At 47.4% G+C, this 16,710-nt stretch overlaps 1 protein-coding gene across 19 annotated transcripts in view; it reads right to left on the bottom strand.

Moving 5' to 3' along the window:
* TBC1D22A (TBC1 domain family member 22A) overlaps window positions 1–16,710 on the bottom strand; it is a 413,050-nt gene that overhangs the window by 282,406 nt on the left and 113,934 nt on the right. For all 19 annotated transcript variants that reach the window (XR_007067971.1, XR_007067970.1, NR_104292.1 and 16 more), the window contains 2 exon segments: window positions 14,571–14,641; window positions 1,900–2,028 (listed from right to left, as the gene is read on the bottom strand). Coding sequence is in view for 16 of the 19 variants with exons in the window: in NM_001284304.2 (NP_001271233.1) it covers window positions 1,900–2,028; window positions 14,571–14,641 (200 nt within the window). In the remaining 3 variants the exon portion in view is untranslated.

Here is a 16,710-nt window from a genome sequence, read left to right as displayed (position 1 = left end):
TGACTGAGGGAGGAAAAGACAGACCAGATGAACGTTTAACTCTGACTCCATGTGGCTCTCCATGTGGCTTTGACACAGCATCTTCAGCAGAAGAGTGAGCACATAAAAATCAAATGAAGAAAGGATGGAAAGCAAGCGGGAAACCTGCCGAGGCCACCCCACTCCTGCTGCCTCCACCAGTGTGCAGGGGTGGCATTGCCCACTGCGGGTCAGACGGCTGGTCGGGCTCAGTCCACAGGTCAAACGCCCAAGTGGATGTAAAGGAGAAACCAAGGTCTCCAAACCCCCACCGGGCCCAGCTCTGCCTGAAATGGCGATGGCGAGAACGCAGAAGGCGCAGTTCTAAGAGGCCTCAAAGCATCAGGCAGACAGGAAAAACTACCGCGTTGCCACAGGCGTGTCTCATCTATATTAATGTAGAAATAGTCTGGGAATTCACAATAATCTGGAACCTTTTTATTACCTATCACAGTAACTAAATAAAGATGTATGCAACCTGTTCGTAATTAACTTTCTCTTCCAACACTCATAACAGAATTCCACTTGGTAAAACTCGCAGATAGATGCTAGTGTCATCCTTTGGAAATCTTTTCTGAAATTAAAATGCATTAAAAAATAGGTTCAAAACAACGCCAAATTTATCAATTTCCTAAAACCAGTGGAGTGGCAAAAGAGGCCAGGTAAGCTAATATTTCCTTAAGCAAATCCAAAGTAATCTGTGTATCAAATCAGTTTCCCAGAGTAACTGGGTGGCGGTCCAGTGCGGTCCAGGGGCCCTGATGAGAGACAGAAGGCAACACGGGCCAGGGGCAGCTCCGGCCTGGAAGGAAATGGAGATGGCTGCTTTGCCCCAGCCTCACTCCTAAGCAAGTCACCTTTCCTCCTGCAGCCCTGTGTCCCATCCGTCTTTGAAGCTGCTGTCCAGGAAGGCATTTAACTTAAAGAATCTTTGTTATGTAACAGAGGTAAGGCATATATTTGGACTTTTTTTTTTTTTTACAGATAAAACCAACTAACAAAGAGATGTGGCTATCCCACAACTGAAAGAGAAAATGTGGCAAAGCTCCATCACCTAGAAGCAGGGTTTGCAGAGGGAAACATTCCTGCCGTGCCTCAGGAAACCCAGAAGCTGGTTTCAGATAGCTAAGACAATAATACCAATTAAGAACCACCATTTTGACCTTTCACATATTACAAAGACAGTGAGAATTATAAAGTCCTCAAAGAGCTATTCTAACAGCAAATTCTGGATGTACTGTGAATCATAAATCAATTTTAAGTATTTTCCCATTATGTACATCATCTGTCAACTGACTATTTAAGAAACCATAATTAGACACACTTTATATTAAACTAAATCACAAAATGGTAACTTGGCTACACCTTCTGCTATGATCTGAAGTGTGTCCCCTGCAAAACCAAACTGATGAACACACCTTTCCTGGGTCGGTATCACATCCCTACCTAGACCGAAGAGCCCAGCGCCAGAGAACCCCAGGCAACCTCTCTGTCCTGATGCCATCAGCTAAGTGGTTGGGCCTGGGCCTTTAGGAATGGCCTTTTATTACCAGACAGCAGCTCACTGTGATACAAACTCCCACCATCACCCCAAGGCCGGTCTCAGGAATCCAAGGCATTTATTTTGTAACCTCAATTTAAAATACTCTTTTTACTTTTGTAGAGGGAACTGAAGACAAGCAAGATAGTACTAGCAGAGGAAATTTGCCATTATTTGTTTTAAAATTTATTTATTAGAAAATAAAAATCTGTGAGCTAATCAGGGACCTGCATCTTTAACTCTGACCAACTCCACATGGTTTTGATAAAACATTTCCTCCTATAAATCACAGCAAAGCAAAGTACATCAGGCAACATACGAAAAAAAGAAAGGATTCCCACCTGCCTGTATGTGTCCTGGTGAACTTCGTCGTTCCTAGAATCGTAATAGTGCTCAATAAATGCAAAATATTCTTTTTGTTTTCTCTGGAGAGTGGCTGGTCTCCGGTCTACATTGGCGGGAAGGTAACCCTGGGTGAGAAATAAACAAAAAATATACATGGTTATAGCTAATTCATGGAGTCCCTATTATTAAGCGTGAAATAAAAAGACTTGCATCATACCTAAGCTTGGCATTCTGAAATCTGACACAGAGAGGAGCACAAATTGTGGGAAAAAAGAAACACACACAGAGGAGGTCAGCCAGCTGAACACAATGCAAGCACCACTCCCGACAGCACTCAGGAAGGGGCCTGGGCTTGCGTCCGCAGCCTCCCGGTGCAGGCCCTCCCCACTCACCTGGACAACAGTCCCACAGGCCCTGCAGCAGGTGGGCCCAAGGCTCTTCTACAACAGGGCTGCGAGATGAAACAAGCGCTTCTCTAGAGGCCTCATATACCAGACAGGATTCCAAAGTCTGAACTGTCTTCTAACAGCAACCACGCACACACACCCCACGCACACACACACATATACACGCATGCATATACACACATACGTGTGTACGTACTCTCACTTATGCAAATGTGCTATCTTCAAAGACTCATGGGCCCATGGCAGCTGCAGTCTCAGTACATAAAGGGGACTTGAAGTCAGAAAGGGCCAGGCAGCACAAGGAGGTCACGAAGAGCCTGATTCCTGGGCCAGACTGCCCAGGATTTCATGGTTTCTGTTGCCTTGTTTCTACTTTTTAACTTGACATTATTGACAATATATAGTTGTCCCTAAGTATCTATGGGGGATACCAAAATTCTTAGCTACTCAAGACCCTTATATAAAATGCCATAGTGTTTGCATGTAACTTATGCACATCTGCTTGAATACTTTAAATAATCTCTAGATGACTTATGACACCTGATACAAGGTAAATGCTATGTAAGTAATTGTTATACTGTGTTGTTTTTTATTTATGTTATCTTTTGTTGCACTGTTACCATTTATTTATTTATTCATTTATTTTGAGACAGAGTCTCACTCTGTCGCCCAGGCTGGAGTGCAGTGGCATGATCTCGGGTCACTGCAAACTCCACCTCACGGGTTCAAGTGATCTCCTGCCTCAGCCTCCCGAGTAGCTGGGATTACAGGCACCCGCCACCACGCCCAGCTAAATTTTGTATTTTTAGTACGGGTTTCACTATGTTGGCCAGGATGGTCTCAATCTCTTGACCTCGTGATCCACCCGCCTCAGCCTCCCAAAGTGCTGGGATTACAGGCGTGGGCCACCGTGCCGGCCTTTTTTTCCCAAATATTTTCGAAGCACAGTTGGTTGAATCTGCAGATGCAAAACCCCCAGATATAAATGGCCAATTCTAATTTATAAAATAAGATGCACCCATTTTAAGCAATCAGTTTGGTGGCTTTTGACAAGGGCATCCAGCTATGTAACTCCTGCTCCAAGGAAGATACAGACACACTTCTATCCCCCCGCCCCTGTATACTTCCCAGTATCCTCTGCAGTCCATCCCAGCCCTGGCCGGGGAGGTGCTCACCTCCTCACTGTGCATGGCTGAGGCTGCCCTAGGACTCCCCAGAAATGGAGTCACTCAGGACCTACACATCGTGCAAGCTTTTCCTTCACTCAGCAGCACAGCACCTTCCCAGACGGATCCAAGTTACGTGAATCAGCTGTGATTTCCTTTTTCTAGCTGTGTCCGTTGAACGGATCCACCAGTTTGTTAAAGATTCGCCTGTCGATGAGCATTTCGGTTGTTTCCGGTTTGGGGTTTGTTATATTCCTGCACAGGATTTTCGTGGGCATACGCTTTGGGTTTTCATGGTTAAATACCTAGGAGTCGAGTTACTGGGCCATAACATTGGGATATGCTTAGTTTTCTAAGATGTCACCTCTTTTTCTAAAGAAATTACTCCACTTTACATTCCGACAAGCAATGTATGAGAATTCCAGATGCTACACAGCCTTTCCAACACTTAGTACTGTGAATCTAACTATCAGCCATGCAGTTGGGTGTGGTTTTAATTTCGTTTCCATAATGATTAATGATACCAAACATCTCTTCGTGGGGCCATCGCATCTCTTCTTTGGTGAAGTATCTGTTCAAATCTTTGGCCCAGCTTTTACTCAGGTTGTGTGTCGTCTTCTCACTGAGTTTGACGAGCTCTGTACACACTCTAGATACAAATCTCTTTTTCCTTTGTATTTACTGTCATTCCTCTCCCCAGTCTATGGCTTGCTTTTATGTCTCAAACAGATAAGGTCTTAAAGTTTCATGAAGTCCAGTTGATAGTTTTTCTTTTATAATTAGTGTTCCTGTATCTTATTTTAAAAAGATTTTTGGACAGACGCGGTAGCTCACACCTGTAATCCCAGCACTTTGGGAGGCCGAGGCAGGCAGATCACGACGTCAGGAGTTCAAGACCAGCCTGGCCAACATGGTGAAACCCCATCTCTACTAAAAATACAAAAATTAGCCAGATGTGGCGGCACATGCCTGTAATCCCAACTACTCAGGAGGCTGAGGCAGGAGAATCACTTGAACCCGGGAGGGAAGGTGCAGTGAGCCAAGATCATGCCACTGCACTCCAGCCTGGGCAACAGAGCAAGGCTCTGTCTCAAAAAAACAGAAAAGGCTTTTCTCCTTGTTTTTTTCCTAGCAGTCTTACTGCTGTGCCTGGCCATGTCTTTCTCATCCCTCAAGTGTCTCCAGTGGTCACTTCTCCCATGAAGTCTGACTGGGCTCCTGGTCAGTAGTCACTTCTCCCACGAGGTGGGGCTGGTCACCTGGCACTCCAGCAGCATCTAGCAGGAAGTTCACTCAGGACCAGGCCCTCATGGTACCAACCAGATGGCGGGCACAACAAGCTTTCACTGGGTGAATCACATATGAACGAGTGACTGAATGAACAAATACATCCCGGATGGCACTTTTAGCCTTTGAAAGTGTTTCCCCATCTGTAGTAGACATCACTGTGTTAGCCACCAAACATCTACTCATCCTTGCTCGAACAGAGCCCTGAAGCTGCTCTGGGAGCCACGTCACCCTCTGCCCAACCCTTGTGGTCCGGATGGGAAGCCTCTTCTTTCAGGACAGGTCTTAACTGGGCTAAGCTACACGGCTAAGCCATCTTCCAGCCACCATGACTGACAGTTTGGAGGTGGAGAGGTGGCCCAAGGCAGGAATAGGAGCCAAGCCAGGGCTTTTCTTGGCTGCTGCTGTGAATGAAAGTGAACGCGCACAGTGTGGAGTTGCGGCGGCCACCCTCTGATGGGAGGGGAGAATCACAAGCTACAGGTCCACTGAGAAAAGCTGACCTGAAAGAGAGCGGGACTCAGAGAGCCGCCAGGCCTCGAGCATGAAGCCAGACTCTAGCCCCATCTTTTCAGCTGTGTGAGCACTGGCATTCCTTCCATCCTCCTTAAGCTTCCACTGTCATCTATTCCATATTATAAATTACACTCAGGCACACTCATGTTAACACATTAGGATCACACCACTGAAACTTCTTTTTAATAAATGCTTATTGAAGTATAGCATACTTAGATAAAGGTGTACCCCAAAATCGTGTGCATTATCACAAACTGAACACATCCGTCAATACCACCCAGGTCAAAGCCAGACCATCACCGTCTTAGCAGGCCTCTCGGTCACCGCCCCTTACCTCCTCCCCTCCTAAGTGGCATTTTTTCTGTCTGGCTGCTTTCATTCAGTGTTACACTTGAAAATTAATTCATGTTATAACGCGTAACAGTAGTTCCTTCCTCCACTGTCGCATAACACTGCTGTGTATGAAATCCATTCTGCTAACAAACATTTGTGCTGTTTCCAGTTTTTGCTTTAAAGATTCTTGAAGCTCCCTTTTACAGTACATGAGATGCATTTCTGTTAAGTGTATACCTGGGAGTGGGCCTGCTAGGTTTGCATACCTCCGAAAGACTTTGCTAAAGAATTTTCAAAGTGACTCTACTCCTGTCAGAAGTGTATGCAAATTCCCAATGTCCTACATCCTTGCCAACACTTGATACTGTGGAACCTTTTCACATTAGCCATTCTGATGGCTTTGCAGTGGTATCTATTAAGCTACATTTCATTTTCATCTGAATTTCCCAGGAGACAAAGGGATGCCATTGCGTGTCTGCATCTGTGAAGTATGAGTACAGATGTTTGAGTCCCTTCCCATGAGGCCATCTGCCTCCTCCTTTCTGATTCACAGGTGTTCATATCCAGATAGTCCACACGTGAGCCCTGCTGCCAACAGCCTCCTTCTGTGACTTGCCTTTTCACTCTATTAATGACGTCTTTGATGAAGAGAAGTTCCTAACTTTAATGTAGCCCAGTTTATGATTGGTCCTTTCCCTTTAAAATCATGGCCATATTCCCACTGTTGTTAAGTCCTGTTCTACAACAGGAATCAGCAAACTACGGCCCACCACCTATTTGTGTAAATAAAATTTTGCTGGACAGGGCACGGCCCATCTGTTTATGTACTGTGTGTGGCTGCTTTTGCCCTATCGCAGCACAGTGGAGTGGCTACAGGAGACCACATGGCCTACAGGCTCAAATATTTACTATCTAGGCCTTTACAGAAAACATTTGCCAACCGTGCTCTAAAACATCCATTTTGAAGGTGACACTGGCTTCCATCATACGCATTTCTATGTCACCTTTCCCCAATTTGTGAGTATTTTGATTATTTCTAATTGCCCAGTATTCTCAAACACACATCAGCTAACAATGTCAATTACTTCCTGAAGTAAACTTCCTACAGTGAACTTTTAGCTCAAAGGAATACCGGATACCTTCAAGGTTCACGATGCGTGATTTCCAAGTAGCCCTGGCAGAAAGGGCATCGGGTCACAACCGCCTGGTTACACGCGTGTCAGACGCATCCCCAACCCAATGGGAGGAGGTGCCCCAGAGGAGAACACTCTCTCCAGAAAACAATCGCTCGGTGAATTACAGTATTCTGGAGAGGGGCACAGAACAGCCTAGCTGCCAAGATGCACTCGAGAGGGACACTCAGAGTCCTCGTGATGGAGGAAAGGTGTGGCCATTATTCCCACCTGGCCTCTGTTTTCCCATAAAATGAGGAAATAGCAGTATTCCAAAGAGCGTATTGATTCACATAATTCTAACAGTGACTGGCCGGGCGCGGCGGCTCACACCTGTAATCCCAGCACTTTGGGAGGCAGAGGCGGGCAGATCACGAGGTCAGGAGATTGAGACCATCCTGGCTAACACGGTGAAAATACTAAAAACACAAAAAATTAGCCAGGCGTGGTGGCAGGCGCCTGTAGTCCCAGCTACTCGGGAAGCTGTGGTAGGAGAATGGCGTGAACCTGGGAGGCGGAGCGTGCAGTGAGCCAAGATCGCACCACTGCACTCCAGCCTGGGCGACAGAGTGAGACTCCGCCTCAAAAAAAAAAAAAAAAATTCTAACAGTAACAAAAAGAATAACCAGCCCCGAGTGTGCACAGAAGTGCCAGGCGTGGTTCTGCGGTGCCTTCCGGGTGATTATTTAATGACCCACCTGAGCATCTCCAGAATCAGGCCTCTTTCACTGGGATGTGCTGGTGGATTGCCAGGCGCAGAGCTCCTTCTGTTGGGTACCTAGCCCTGCCCACAGTGATGGGAAGGCATAAAATTACAAGGGGGGGCAGTGACAGCCAGACCTGAGTGAAACAAGCTTCTACTTCAAGTTCAAGCCAGCTTCACAGATAACCGTCTCAGAGCCACAGGCTTCATCCAGACCCGTCTGCACCTTGTTGTTATTTCAAGCCTGTCCGTCTCTTGGCAATAACAATTACATAAGATTACTTCTTTTTCTTTGCCCCCGAATTGCCATACCCGCAGGTGAACTAAGGAAGGGCTGGGTCCTCACCACGCTCCGTGCTTCACACAGTGCTGCTTTAATCCCACTAATCACAGAAGGCCGTCACTGTCCCTATCTGCAGACGAGGAGACAGGCTCAGGAAACGTGGTTAATGTGCCCAGAGTCACATGGACACGAAGGCAAACTCAAGCCAAGCCCCAGCTCCTAACCTGAGGTCCCACACTGCTCAGGAGAGCCATGTGATCCCAAGTCACCGAAGACCTGGGGACAAATCCGCATGCTAAGAGCCACCCACAGATACACACAACAACAACATTCATTCACCCAGCCCCAGCCACTCTCCCACCCGCTGCTCAGCCCTGGATACAGAGACGCTGAAGACTGGCCGGGCTCACAGGTGACTGTCCATCAGTGGGTGGACAAAGACCCCACGGTCCTTTCTCCACACGCTGGCTCTAGAGACTCTGTGACAATCACATCATTTTAACACCACCAGCCCGAAAACACTTCCAATTGCTTCTAATCATGCCCAGCATAAAAGCCCAGGCCCTGCCTAGGCTGACGGCTCCTGCGGGCCTGGCCCTTCCTGCCTCTCTGACCAAGAGGCCGAGACTCGTCACTCACCATGGCCCCTCCCACTTTTACTTCGCTGCTTAAATGTTCCTTAAATGCCACACCTCTCCTGCCTCAGTGCCCCTCTCTGAACTTACTCTTCCTCTGCTAGGACCCATTTCATCTAGATCAGGGGTCAGCAAACTGACCATCAGCCAATCCTGCCCACCCATTTTTGTAAATAAAGTGTTATGGGAACACAACTATGTGTTTTCCTTTATACAGATTCCCTGTGGCTGCTCTGGGCCACAATGGCAGAGATTAGCTGCTACAGACCACAGGGGCCACCAAGCCCAGGGTGTTGACTGGCTGCCCTTTCGAGGACAGCCGCTGGCCGCTGCTCTCAGTCTGTGCAGGGCCAGCAGCCGCCTTTCCACAAGAGCACCCTCTCTCGGTCTCCACCTCCCCGGCTGTGGGAGGAGCCCACGGCACTGCTTCCTGTTACTTACTGTTCTCCCTCTTCATCACCTGTGTCTGGTGGGCACTATTCCCTGATGGGAAACACAGTGAGGGAACGGGTAAGCCCTCTCCACAGAATGAACCAGACAGGAATGCACCCCCAGGCACCTGCTTAGCTGCCTCCCTTGCTCCTCTAAGTCCCTGCTCAAAGTCACCTCCTCAGTGCGGCCCACCCTGACCGCTACCCACCTACTTCAACAGCCCCTTCCCCTCCTCGGCCCTCACCATCCCACCAAGCTGATCCCAGCCCTTTTCCTACAGCACTCCTCACATTCCACAGCACATCAAATCTACTTCTCGGTGTATTGTTTGTCTTCTCCCACCAAAATGTGAGGTCCACGAGGGCGGAATGTTCGTCCAAGGGCTTGGAACGCTGTTTGCCCCACAACGGAACCTCAGTCCTTCCTCGCTGAGTGCAAGAGTGATCACGACGTGCAGAGATCCTGTCAGACCCAAAGGTGGCCACAGCCCTGAGACTCAGGGAGAAAGATGCGTGTGCTCACTTGGGACAAGTAAGACCAAGCATACACTTCTGGGTTTGGTTTTGATAGTGGAGAAGACAGAGGTGGAGAGAAAGAGACGGAGCACAGAGGACACAGGGAAATGTGTCCGGGTTGGCTAGGGGCAAGGCCGGAAACAGAGCCTGGCCAATGATGGGTGTGAAGCTGTGTGCAGCAGCCAGGAGAGAAGGCCTGTGTGCCAGTGAAGGGGCCCAGCCTTCAACACAGGGCAGCGTGGGCCAGCAGGGGTGATCAGCTAGGCCGTGGTGTAGGCAGCCTGACATCAACTGCGTTCAGTGGCAACAAAAAATCCATAGTGAACTTGCAAGAGGGCTCTCAGAAATACTTCCCACTCCCCAAAATGTAAATTAACTTGAAACACAAATTCTAAAAGGCAAGCACGTCATCATCGGAATGCAGGCAATAAAAACCCTACACGTGCTCCTGACACTCCCATCCCTAAAGGAAAACACACATATGCAAGTTGAGGCCTTTCAATAATTAAGCAAGACTAGAAATTATGCAAATGAAATACATTCAAGTATGCAATGAATTTTAAATGACAGAACTACAGAAAACTTAATTGCTGTATTAGCATGCTATAAAAACACTCATCATAAATGTAAAACAATGCATGCATATACTTATATCTAAATTGTCCCGGTGACACAAAAATCAAATTGTTCCCTCCCACTGTGTTCCTATGCAAACCTACCTCAATAAACTGCAAAAACAAAGATAATACTGGAGCTTCACTCATCATTTTTAACCATTAGACTCACTAATGCAAATGTTCGATGTTTAAGTAGTTTTTGTGCCACGTTTCTGAAATACTTATTTAAAAAAGAGCCAGAAATATGATTCTGTATAGCAGTAATTTTTAAAAAGTTACTACCCTGCTTGCATAAAATGTAAACATTAAGTAGTATTACTAGTGGCTTAATGGTATGTTCTAGACTAGATGTTAGTTTTTCATAAATGCCAAGTCATGTTTCTCGTCCTTCTTCATTGAAGTGGCACTGCCCACTCATCAATTAAAAATAAGGCTACTAGAATCATGTTAATGACAAATCATAAACACAATGAAAAAGAGTCATGATGTTTGCCAGACCCTGAAATAGGTTCCCATTCAAGCACAGCTTTGGTTATCTGCCTCTTTGGTTATCTGCCTTTTTAAGCTGGACAAATGATAAATTCTCAATTCTGGGCGTAACTGTTAACCTCTGGATCCTGGAAGGACTCACAGACTGGGATAAATCCCTCCCATCTTACCCTGCTCACCCGAACCCTCCCAGACAACACGCTCATGGCTCTCAGCGAGTCTCACTCAGCCTCTCTCCTCCAACGCAGGCCCTCCAACGCCCCAGGCCAGCTCTCCTGCCCTGGTACCTCAGCCCAGGTGTGTGCTGCCTGCAGTGGCGGGCATAGCGCATAACTTTCAATGACCTGCTTCCCAGTTGGCTCATGTATGCCCCACCTTGCCCCACTGGAGCCTGAGTGTCTTAGAGCAGCCGTCTTCAGCCCTGGGCACACGTGAGAACCCCCAAGAACCGACGTAACAGTATTTCCTGAGCTCCAAAGGTGATAATGACATGTGACCAGAATGGAAACCCACAGGTGAAGAAGGCAGGCCTGAACCTCCCACACCCTCGCCTCCCATTCCCTGCCTAGCCGCAGGGTAGGCACTCTGTGGACTGCATGGTTCACAGCATGCTAGAGTCAGTCAACACCCTGATGCCTGAGTCCACCCTAGAGATTCCAATTTGCTTCGTGGGCCCGGACACCAGGATCGGGAAAAGCTCCCAGGAGAGTTGAATGGGAAGCCAGGTTTAAACCTTGGGATTCAGGGAATGATAAAGAGGCATCCTTGATTGGGGAGACCCCTTCCCTGCTGAGTTCCCAGTACCCACCATTGTCCCAGAGGTTCTTGTAACCCCAGCACCTGCAGAGGGCCTGGCTGAGGGCAGATGTGTGAGCAGCACATGCTGACTCAGGGATGGGTGACTCGCATTGTGCACTGTGCTCCCAGATCTCTCCTCTTACAGAAGGCCCAGAGCCATGGTGCAGCATGACTGCCTGGGGAGCTGGATGGCATCAGTGCTCACCAACACAGGGCATGGAGCATGGCAAATGCACAGTGAGCACTTGTTCCCGGAAAAAGAACCAACGCTTGCCCCCTACTCTAGCTGCCAGAGTCCTCTTACTCCACCCCTGTAGCCTTTGGCCCCTCAACTCCCTTACCTGTCCCTTCCCAGTTCTTCCTGTCCCAGCTCTAGTCCCCTCCCAAGAGCCTGCCAAGAGCAGCCTCCCCTTACAACCAGCACTGCTCCTACGAGCCAGACACTGGGCAAGAACAGCCTGTTCCCTGAGTTGCCTGCCACACGCCTGTCCACAAGAATCTCTGAATGCGTGGTCTGACGCACGGCAAGCACTCAGTAAGGGACAGACACAGGGCAGCAGTGCACTGGGAGCACAGGAATAAGATCCTGAGAGAATGGGATCCGTCTCCACGTAGCCTAGGTCTGTCGGGGTTGGAGGGGGCAAGAGAAAAAGGCAGGCCTTCTACTATCTGTTCTGCAGGCCCCAGGGGGACGACTTGGTCTTCTTCCCTGCCTGCTATTTCCCAGCACCCGACACAGTGCCTAAAACACAAAGTGCTCAATAAATGCCAATGGATGAATGAATGGATGAATGAATGAACCAACCAACGGCTCTTTCAAGGCTTTACTCTTCCAGAAACACAGGCTCACCACTCCCAGTTTCTCCTTCAGAATAAAACCCAAGCAATGGGGTGGGTAGGGATGGCAGTAGGGCGGCTGTCACCTGGTCTCCTCTTGGGCCCCTCTACCCCAGCCTGTGTTCCTGCTTGTCCCACCCCTACTGTGTGCCCCAGCTCTCATGGCCTCCCCACTTCCCACTAGCAGAGAGAACACTAACAACACTTTTGAGATGCCACGTAAGATGCCACCTTCCCCAAGAAGCCTTACTTGGCATCCTCATGAACCCTTTCTTAGCACCCAACATTTGCAACGACAAGCTTTGCTCCCTGATCTAACATTTATTTCCTACTCATCTGTCAATCCAAGCCCTGAGAGGGCCAAGAACCACCACGTTCATCCGTATCCCTTGTGACTGCAAGTCTCCACACCCTCCCCTCCTTCCCCACCTGCCATGGCCATGCAGATCCCAGGTGTGAAGTCCCCTCTTAGCAGAAGCTGACCCTCTGTACTAAACTGCCCCCACGCTGTGGTACTCCTCCACCCCCTGGTTCATACTCGTGTCCTGTCCATCCTATAGCATGCAGTCTGGCCTCCACCACCACTGTCCCACCACAAGTCTGCAGCACCCGACCTCCTCCTAATGGCAGGCTAGTGTCTAATTCATCTCCGTCTCCCAAGCAAAGGCCCCTGCAAGCTATGATGGTTAAAGGACTACATGTGCCTGTCCCTTCATAAGTCAACGCTCTGAGAATGCTCAGGCTTTCTCTTGTGAAGGAAAATGCTTGGGCCCCCAAGATCACTATAAAAAACTCAAGCTAGAAACTGCTTAGGGCAAACCTGCCTCCCATTTTATTCAAAGTCACTCCTCTGCTCACTGAGACAGATGCACACCTGATTTGCCTCCTTTGGAAAGGCTAATCAGAAACTCAAAAGAATGTAACCATTCGTGTATCACCTATCTGTGACCTGGAAGCTCCCTCGCCACTTCTTACATGTACTGATGGATGTCTCATGTCTCCCTAAGTGTATAAAACCAAGCTGTGCCCCGACCACCTTGGGCACATGTCGTCAGGATCTCCTAAGGCTGCGTCGCCAGTGCGCCCTCAACCTTGGCAAAATAAACTTTCTAAATCAACTGAGACCAGTCTCAGATCTCCTGGGTTCACACTCTCACTTGCCTCGCCGGGGTTCCTGGGTCAGACTCCACCTACACCCACCTGCCCTCCTGTCCACAACCAGCAGAGTGGGGCTGTCACCTCCCCTTGTGCTCCTCTGTCTACTGAAATCAGAGTGTCCATGTCCACATCAACCCCTGTGCTACACACATTAGGGAAGCGGAACCACAACCCGCAGAGGCTGAGAATTAGAGGAGAAAGCACAGTATAAAATAACTCACATGAGACTTTCCCCCTAGACACGGCACATCCTTAATAAATAGAAAACGGCAATTCGGTGTTTTCATCATAACTTCCTACAAACCAACCTGAGAAGTCTGCAACCTATCTTAGGGGACATTTAGAAAACTGGATATAAACTGGAAAACTAGGTTAAAATAAAAAAGCACAAAACAAAAACATAAGCAATGGCAGCAAGTCTAATTTTAATTGCAAAAGAATATTTAATCAATAAATATTCGCTGTTCAGAGCTGCGTCTGCATTTAGGATTACGAGGTACTAAGCTGCAAACTTATTAAGGCTCATTAGCCAGAAAGAGTCTTAAATACTAAAAGTCAGACCCAGTTTAGAGTAAACACTTAGAGCTCCCTATTGACTTAGCTCCAAAAATAATGAAAAAGGAAAAGAGAAGAAAACTGTCTATAAACAATTCTGAAATGGTGGGCAGGGCCAAACTCACTTCCAACGGCAAGCCTGAGCTAAGTGTACGAGGGCATTGCTGATGTCACCACCGCCTACCCCAACCTTTCCCCAAGGACTTCCAGACCGGCAGCTGAGCGCCAGAGCTGCGGCAGCCAGAACTCCACACTCCACCACAGAAACACAAACCACTTCTCTCACCCACAGAAACACAAACCACTTGTCTCATCCATTTCTTCTCTTTTCCTAACAGCGCTACTAATACTTACAAAAAAAAAAAAAAAAACTTGGTCAAACATATGTCCTTGTTTTCAGCATATTTGAAACAAATTTAAAACATATTTCCCTGTTTCAACTCCTCGGAGTTGAAACAACCATCTATGCTGAAACCTTTCTATATCACAGGCTGGAACATAGAAAGATTTTCTAATAAAATCTGAGGAAAAAATATAGTTGTCATAATTATTACCTATTCTTGTTTTCTGCCAGTCCTGTCAAACCAAGCTTAAAATTAAGCAAAGAATGGAAAATGTCAGCTTAGCCATAGCAAAGGCCTTTATCACTGCAACAAAGCCAAGGCAAACCCGTGGGCTGTGGCTGTCAGGCCCTACTCAGGCCAGACGCCTGCAGTCCCTGTGCACAGGAAGGAGGCGCTGATGGGCGGTGCGGTGGGACTTACTGAGAGGAGCTTCCACGTCATTGGACGCACTGGCTTAGGGATTCCGGACCAGCTCAACCTCCGTAATTCCTCTGTTGATGAAAAAAGAGACAAGGAAAAACAAGATTTGCAAAAGGTTAGCAAACCTCCCCAGTGCTTTAACACATTCCACCTGTTTAATTAGGAGGCAAGGAGCCCCATAAACAAATTAAACTAAATCATCAACATTTCAGATACGATTGATTTCAATATCTGAGAGAAGGTAAGTGACCATTCTATTCAAACCAAGCTACAGGTTACCTGTTTACAACAGAATCCTGGAGCTACCCTGGAACACGTGAGGCCCCATGATCCCTTCCTCCTTCAACCAGAGAAGTCCAGAGTACACTGGCCTCCTTCCCTCCCACCTCCTTCTCTCTCTCCCTCCCACCTCCTTCTCTCTCTTCCTTCCCCCCACTCTCTCCTGAAGGCTTTTTCCCCAACCTGATCATGTTAATTGGTTTTCCTTTCTTTCTTCCATCTCAACTTTCTATATGCTATTTAAGCATACATATATGATGTGGTTTTTCTCACTACTGGTTTTGAAAGAAATTGTTTCACGGAGATAAGCTTGTCTTTATACACCATTAATTAAGGATGTGGCCATATTCTACACAGACAACAAAGTCTTCAAGGTAGTCTAATACAAGTCAATGAGGCTTTATAAATACCTACAAGTAGAAAAAAATCACGAGTAGGGAGGCGCTGGCCAGAGGCAGAGGGGTCCTGGAGCAAGGTCCAGCACCTCCAAGGGCAGGGAAGGACAAGCATCAGGCAGAGGGGTAAGGCTGTGGGCCCTGCATTCCATCGACCTTCCGAGTCTCCTTGAGTGTCTCACTCCCATGCCCCAAATGGCAAGAGAATCCATTTCAATGTCTAGGTATAGCAACACTTGTCCAATCCCATGGAAACTCAAGTAATTATTTCTTTCCTTTAAGTTAGGAATCTACCATTAGGTTGTTTTCCTAACAGCTTGGAGCTAATGATTAATAACGGGAATAAAAGAAATGATTAAAGAGAAGACTTTGCTAATATAATCAACAAAATACAAAGTCCTGACATCTAATCTTTTTCCAATTACTAAAGTCTAAGTAAAATAAGTACAGAATAATTGGGCGATAGTCGCAGCAATAACTTGCATTTTACAGCAATCTCAGAAAATATCAAATCTTCCCCAGTACCCTAAGGATATTATGAAAAGCAGGAACCTCATATCTGAACACCAATAATGTAATGTTTACCGACCATGTTCCCAGTGTCTCTCCCTCGGCATAACTCTGGTTTTCTGATTATGGTTTACGAGAAAAAGCTGAGAGGAAACTCATTCGTTAATGTTCTCTGAACCTCTCTCCTCACTGGAAGAAATTCACAAAAATTCAAAAATCCTGAATATACATAATGAGACAAGCCTCAAACTCTGCTCAAGCTTTGGTGTTAAAAGAGAGCTTTCATACATATTATCTTATTTGATCCTCAAAACAAGCTTGTGTTACTTAGGGCTGTGATCACTATTGTATATGAAAGAGCCTCAGAGAGGTTAAGTGACTTGACCAAGGTCACACAGGAACTAAGCAACCTTCAATACCAGGGTCTGTCCACTACGTCCCTTCCATTCTTAAAAAGACTTTTGTAGCACAGACAAATCTCACTTCTGAATACAGACAAAAAGATCCAAAATAAAATCTTAGTAGATCAAAGCACAGCAGCAGGATATTCAAAGAATAATACAGGTAAAGAATGAAGGAGGGATGGTTCAACGTCGGGAAATCTTGTAGCTTTACCCACATGCTGAATGGGGTCGACAGGGAAGCCACATGACCATCCTCATAGGTGTTTGGTACATCTTTCTAGCAGAATCCCAGCTGTGCAAAGTAACCATGCTTCCCTGCAGCAGCCCTGGGGGTGGGGAGTCAGCCCAGAGGCAGCTGAACCCACAGGTGGGCCTAGTTGGAGCCCCGCAGAGCTAGCCCACACCTCACCAAAGGCTGAGTCAGCAATGGGCCTAGGCGCCTACTTAAGCCACTGAGCACAGACAGCTGAGGGCTTCTGAGAACACTCCACCCGGCTCTTGGGAAGTTCCTGGAGGCAACCCACTCCTCTTCCCCTGAAAGCTACCAGGGTC

Source organism: Homo sapiens, chromosome 22 (assembly GCF_000001405.40).
Source record: "Homo sapiens chromosome 22, GRCh38.p14 Primary Assembly".
Taxonomy (NCBI): domain Eukaryota; kingdom Metazoa; phylum Chordata; class Mammalia; order Primates; family Hominidae; genus Homo; species Homo sapiens.
Note: the sequence above shows the minus strand (reverse complement) of the source record. Positions and strands in the feature narration are given on the sequence as shown.